Source organism: Homo sapiens, chromosome 5 (assembly GCF_000001405.40).
Source record: "Homo sapiens chromosome 5, GRCh38.p14 Primary Assembly".
NCBI lineage: Eukaryota > Metazoa > Chordata > Mammalia > Primates > Hominidae > Homo > Homo sapiens.
The window spans coordinates 130,396,009-130,403,769 of NC_000005.10; positions in this window are offsets into that span (position 1 = coordinate 130,396,009).

The window sequence follows — 7,761 nt, forward strand, 5'->3', positions numbered from 1 at the left end:
TTTATGCGAACATAAATACCTTCATTATATATTGTCTATGGCTGATTTTACCCTACAGAAATATAATTGAATAGTTGCCACAGATAATATATGGCCCACAATGCTTAAAATATTTATTATCTAGCCCTTTATTGAAAAAGTTTGTCAACATCTGGTAGAGGAATTTCAAGATGAAAATGCTAACTAATGCCATACTAAAAATACAACCCAAATTAACTAAACTTTAGTTTGGAAAGAGTCTTTGGACTTCATAAAAACTGAGTAAATAAAGCCCTTATGATGTAAAAGATACAAGCATCTTAACATAGTTTTAAAGATCACAAATTTGAATCCCTAATAATCAGTAAAAAAAAAAAAAGGGGGGGTTTTTTTTATAGAATTCACCATATTTCACATTTAGAACAAATTTTTATATCTCACTTGATTTTTATCATTAAAAGTCAATGTTTTACATCATTAATGGTATTCATAATTGAATACACATGGCACACACTTGGGACACTTCTGAAATGTTTCATAACCGTTGATTAAAATAAAAATGTATTCTTTGAATTACAAAGTCTTCACTGGCATTTCTTCTCCCATAGAAAACCCTTCCACTCAGACAGAGGCCTAGTATTTTCAGTGACGAGTCTGGCATACAGCATGTGCCCTATAAGTTAAATAAATAAATTTTTTTTGAAAAAAAAATATGTAAACTTTGTCTTTTGTTACCTATTGGATTATGAAAGGAAGATTTTGGTTGCTGTTCATTTTTCTGTAGACATTTACAGGGAAATGAAAACAGGCCATGTAAATTATATTAATCAAAAGCACACAATTTCCAGAGATTGCCTTTCACTTGAAGATAATGAAACAGCCATGGCTGGTTAGCTTCCGATTTACTTTAAGTTTCTATAGCTGATATTTCCACTTAAATAGATTTGTAAGTCTCTTCCTTAAATATTGAATTTATCCAGAAACAGTCTTTCTTTCCATTGCTTTAAATGAATATTGATTTTTCTTTTAGCTTTAAAAGCCATCAGTTGAGTCTTAAAATGTATCAGTAATTATTATGAGAATTAAATAGTGCAAGTAAAATGACCCACTTTAACTAATCTAGTTGAGCAGCTAATGATCACATTTTTTTTTTTTACATAAAATTGTATTCCTTTCTGTAGTTGGTCCAGTGGCATTTCATCAGGAAGAAATACAGTAAGAAGAGTGCAGCTATCTCCATCCATACAGAGCTGATTATAATATAGAAGTCCTGTAACTGGTCATTTCATTTCAGAAGCTTATTGATACGGCTCAGCTGAATTATGTCTCCCAAATGTCATCTTGAATTATGTCTCCCATAATTCTCATGTGTCATGGGTAGGACCCTGAGGGAGATAACTGAATCATGGGGGCGGGTCTTTCCCATGCTATTCTTGTGATAGTGAATGAGTCTCACAAGATCTGATGGTTTTATAAAAGGGAGTTCCCCTGCACAAGCTCTCTTTGCATGCCCCTATGTAAGATATGACTTTGCTCCTTCTTCACCTTCTACCATGATTGTGAGTACTCCCCAGCATGTAGAACTGTGAGTCAATTAAACCTCTTTTCTTTAAAAATTACCCAGTCTCGGGTATGTCTTTATTAGCAGCATAAGAACAGGCTAAAACAGTAAATCGGTACCACTAGAGTGGGGTGCTGCTGTAAAGATACCCAAAAATGTGGAAGTGACTTTGGAACTGGGTAACAGGCAGAAGCTGGAGCACACTGGAGAGCTCAGAAGAAGACAGGAAGATGTGGGAAAGTTTGGAACTTCCTCGAGACTTGTTGAATGGCTTTGACCAAAATGCTGATAGTGATATAGACAATAAAATCCAAGCTGAGGCAGTCTCAGATGGAGATGAGGAACTTGTTGGGAACAGGAGTAAAGGTTACTTTTGCTATGCAAAGAGACTGTTGGCATTTTGCCCCCACCCTAGAGATCTGTGGAACTTTGAACTTGAGAGAGATGATTTAGGGTATCTGGTGGAAGAAATTTCTAAGGGGCAAAGCAATCAAGAGGTGACAGGCATACAAGTTAGGGAAATTTGCAGCCTGATGATGCAATAGAAAAGAAAAATCCATTTTCTGGGGAGAAATTTAAGCCAGCTGCAGAAATTTGCATAAGTAAGGAGAAGCTGAATGTTAATCACAAAGACAATGGGGAAAATGTCTCCTGGTCATGTCAGAGACCTTCATAGCAGCCCCTCTCATCACAGACCTGGAGTCCTAGGAGGGGAAAATGCTTTCATGGATGAGGACAAGAGCCCCCCTGCTCTATGCAGCCTTGGGACATGGTGCCCTGCATTCCAACTGCTTCAGCCCCAGCTCAGCTAAAAGGGGCCAATGTACAGCTCAGGCCATTACTTCAGAGGGTGCGAGCCCCAAACCTTGGCAGTTTACATGTAGTTTTGGGCCTGTGGGTACGAGAAGTCAAGAATTGAGGATTGGGAACCTCTGCCTAGATTTCAGAGGATGTATGGAAATGCTTGGATGTCCAGGCAGACGATTGCTGCAGGGGTAGGGCCCTCATGGAGAACCTCTGCTAGGGGAGTGTGGAACGGAAATGTGGGGTTGGAGCCCCCAAACAGAGTCCCCACTTGAGCACTTCCTAGTGGAGCCATGAGAAAAGGGCCACCATCCTCCATACCCCAGAATGGTAGATCCACTGACAGCTTGCACCATGCGCCTGGATAAGCCACAAACACTCAATGCCAGCCCATGAAAGCAGTCAGGAGGGGAGCTGTACCCTGCAAAGCCACAGGGGTGGAGCTTCCCAAGGCCATTGGAGCCCACTTCCTTGCATCAGTGTGATCTGGATGTGAGACATGGAGTCAAATGAGGTCATTTTGGAGCTTTAACGTTTAATGACTGCCCTATTGGATTTCAGACTCAAATAGGGCCTGTAGCCTCTTTGTTTTTTCCACTTTCTCCCATTTGGAATGCATTTACCCAATGCCCGTATCGCCATTGTATCTGGGAAATAACTAACTTGCTTGTGATTTTACTGGCTCATAAACAGAAGGGGCTTGCCTTGTCTTAAATGGGACTTTGGACTGTGGACTTTTGTGTTAATGCTGAAATGAGTTAAGAATTTAGAGGACTGTTGGTAAGGCATGATTTGTTTTGAAATGTAAGAACGTGAGATTTGGGAGGGGCCAGGGACAGAATGATATGGTTTGCCTGTGTCCCCACCCAAATCTCATCTTGAATTGTAGCCCCCATAATTCCCATGTGTCATGGGTGGGACCTGGAAAGAGGTAATTGAATCATGGGGGCAGGTCTTTCCCCCTGCTATTCTCATGATAGTGAGTAAGTCTCACGAGATCTGATGGTTATATAAAGGAGAGTTCCCCTGCACACACTCTCTTTGCCTGTCACCATTTAAGATGTGACTTTGTTCCTCCTTCACCTTCTTCCATGATTGTAAGGACTTCCCACATGTGGAACTGTGAGTCAATTAAAACTCTTTTCTTCATAAATTACTTAGTCTCAGGAATGTCTTTATTAGTAACATGAGAACGGACTAATACACTGATAGAAGAAAGGAAGAATGAAGACAGTGGCTTGGCCCCTTAAAAATGATTTACAAATCAAGAGGCAAAAAATCAGGTTATCTGTCTTCTTACCCAAATGTTTTAACATTTGAAAATTTTAAGGAAAAATTAGACAATCCCTGAGGAATATGTCATAATTATTGCCATTTAAATGAAATTAAATATACTGTTAATTTTACCTTTTCATATACTCTGTTACTGATATTTTAAAATACTTACCCCTCTTTTTTCCTGAGAATCAGATTTTCTTGCCTTTTCACTTATTTAGCCATGGAAATTGGTTTAAGTCCATAAAGTATGAGCTGTAAAGGGCTTTTATTCCAAAATCTACATGAGATTCCAACTACAGGTGCAACTATCAGCCTCTCTGATAAGACCATGGAGAAATTTAAAGAGATGGCTCCTATAAGTTCTCAGCTAGACAAAAGAGTTTCTAAGAAGTTGAATGGAATTGTCTCATCGCTCTTTGATTTTTAAGCCCAAAGTAGAAATGAACCTGGATTGAAGGTATACATAGGTGTGGTTTTGTGTAACAGAGTGGTTTATAATCTAATCTGCAAGAATTCCATGCAACTTTTAAAGGATTTGTGCCATCTTGTACTGAAAGGGTAGCAATTGTGTAAAATGAAAAGAGGACTCCTTCCCTAAGCAGTCTGAGGGAACTACTCAAATGCAAATATTTGCCATTTTTCATAGAAGAGCAGTGACTCACAGGATGGGACCAAGATTACAGCAGTCAGGGCCAAAAGCCCTGGAGAACAATTCTCAAGGAGCCAAACTGAGTTCTAATCAACAATATTTCATGCTCTCAGAGCATGGGGAATTGGTCAGCATAATAGATGCAGGCATTTGGTAAATTCAGTATGCAATTATAATTCAAAAAAAGTAAACATTTATTAAGTTAGAAATAAATGAGAACCTCCAAGGCCTAACAAAAAATTTCCATAAACATCTGGAGCAAACACCTTAAATATGGTAACAATGAAAACAGTTTCTTAAAAATAAGGGACAACTCAACGATATATACTACCACCACATCTATTCTATTTTATTGGCAGTCTTAAGTAGTATAAGAGGAAATAAAAAAGGTATTAAGGTTATAAGAGAGGAAAGCAAAATTATTAGAGATAACTTTTATCATTTACATAGAAAATGCAAAAGAATCCATAAATCTTACAAAAGGACTGAATATAAAGTCAGTAGCATTTATATACACCAGAAGCAAATACCTAGAAAACAAAAATAAAGAGAAGAAAAAATTTTCAATAATTTAAATACAGCAGTATTTACAAGAATACAAGAATAATATATCATAAGATATAAAAAATCTCTACAGGTAAATTATAAAACTTTTAGAGCTATTAAAAATAACTGTAAAATGCAGAGAAACCATATTTATAAGGAGAAAAACTTTATATTATAGAAAAATCAATTTTCCCTAAGTGGAACTCCAGATTTAATAAAATTTCAATAGAAATTTCTGTTTTTTTAATGCAACTTGTTCAGATTGTTATAAAATTTATATAAAAGAACAAAACGAGCTAATAAATACCCTGAACTAATCTGAATAAGTGAAGGATGGGTAATTTGTCCTACTAAATACTTTAAATCTGTAATAATCTAAATAGTATGTTACAGCATCAGGGATAGAAAATATAGCTTATCTGATAAATAAAGGTGCTAAAAAGTACCCAAACATTAATGGAACATTGTTATATGACAGAGATAGCATGCCAGATGGCTGGGTGAAGTTGAAATTATTTAATAAATAGATAAGTTGAAATTATTAAATAGACATTAAGAAACATGGTTAGCCAAGTGAATAAAGACAAAATTAAATCTCTACCTCATAGAATATAAAAATAGATTCCAAAAGCATTAAGGACTTAAGCTTCTTAGTAGAAAATATAAGTAAATACCTTTTAGACTTTAGAGTGAGAAAAGTTTCTTAAATAAGTACAAAACACATTGACTATGAGAAAAAAATGATACATTTAGATTAAAACTAACATTAGTTAATCAAAACAATAGATCAAATTGGGAGGCGATATGTGTATTACAGACAAGTGCCAAAGCATTGGTATGGATAATAAAGTGCTTCCATAGGTCAATAAGAAAAGCAAAGTAAAAATTAAACAGAAAATTGTTGAAAGTTATAACTGGCATCAGGCGCGGTGGCTCACGCCTGTAATCCCAGCACTTTGGGAGGCCAAGACGGGCGGATCCTGAGGTGCCAAGCATGGTGGCGGGCGCCTGTAATCCCCGCTACTCGGGAGGCTGAGGCAGGAGAATCACTTGAATCCAGGAGGTGGAGGTTGCAGTGAGCCAAGACCGTGCCATTGCACTCCAGCCTGGGCAACAGAGCCAGACTCCGTCTCAAAAAAGAAAAGAAAAGAAAAGAAAATTATAAATGGTAATTTCAAAAATAAAATCCATGAATGGCAATAAGCATATAATGAAATATTTAAAATTATTAATGGTTGCAAAAATAAAAATCAAAATTGCTGAGATACCGCTTACATTCATTTGTTTAAAAATAAAAAGAAGGGACCTATAATCCCAGTACTTTGGGAGGCCGAGGCAAGCAGATCACTTGAGGTCGGGAGGTGGAGACCAGCCTGACCAACATGGAGAAACGCCGTCTCTACTAAAAATACAAAATTATCTGGGCGTGATGGAGCATGCCTGTAATCCCAGCTACTAGGGAGGCTGAGGCAGGAGAATCGCTTGCACCCGGGAGGCAGAGGTTGCAGGGAGGAGGAGGTTGCAGTGAGCCGAGATCGCGCCATTGCACTGCATTCTGGGCAACAAGAGGAAAACTCCGTCTCAAAAAATAAAAAATAAAAATAAGGAATTAGACAATAATTAAGTATTGAAATGGACGTACAACCGGAGGATATCTTACATATTGTTGAAGGAAATGCAAATTGGTGCATTCACTTAGAAAACCAGTTTGGCATTTTTTCCTAAACTGGAACATTCTATGCCTTGTGGTACAGAAATTTCATCCCTAAATATAAAATCAATATACTGCAATACGGTTTAAAATAAAGTAAAAATATACTTCTTCAGAGAGTATCTAAATGACATAAGAAATTACAAAGGAATGACAAACATAGAATCAGAAAAAAAAGTTTGTTTAGACTGAGGTAGGTAGGGAAATGAAATATAGAATAAATTTTAAAATTATTTTTAAAAAGAGAGAAATACTTTACATTGCCTGACATTTCATCCTCTGCGAGTATGCCTTAGAGAGAACAAGACATTGGAGATTAAAAAAAAGGGGGATTCTCTCATGGATATTGTTCCCCAAGAACCTCCCATGATGTGAGAATCCAGCCAAACTGAATGTGATTGTAGTGTATAAAAATTAGTAATTAGTAGCTTCGTATGCTGTGGCACCTTAGCTCAAAACAAGCACCTTTTCTGAAACTTATCTGGAGAGCCAGACTCTAGTCACTCCCTACCCACCCCCACCACCAAACCCGCGGTTCCCCTCCTGTGGTCCCTGGTTTGTTAGGAACCAGGCTGCACACCAGGAGAGCGACCGGCCAGCATTATCCCCTGAGCTCCACCTCCTGTCAGACCAGAAGCGGCATTAGATTCTCAAAAGAGCATGAACCCTATTGTGAACCGTGCATACAAAGGATCTAGGTTGTGTGCTCCCTATGAGAATCTAATGCTTGATAATCTGAGGTGGAACAGTTTCATCCCAAAACTACCCCCACAACCCTATCTGTGGAAAAATGGTCTTCCGTGAAACCGGTCCCTGGTGCCAAAAAGGCTGGGGACCACTGCTCTAGAGGAAGCACTGAACTTATTGAGTGATGGCATCTCATCCAACAGGACACTTTCCTAAGATATATTTGGTGGTAATATCACTACTCAAAGTTTTCTTATTAAATTATTAACAATTATGTTCACATTATATTCTAACTTTGTGTAAATTAACAATTTTGCATTAAACCTTTCCAGTTTTCTTTACCAAAAAGTATTAAAAACTTGAAGTGAATTATAATTTTATTTATAATAAGCAATTTCTGTAAGTGATTTTTACATATCTGAGTTTTTTACATATGAGTACTGTACACATAGTAGGCACTCAAGACATTCTTGTTGAGAAAAGGAGTAAATAAATGAGAAGGCTAATTTACATACTGATTAAGATTATAAGAACCCAAGACCTGGG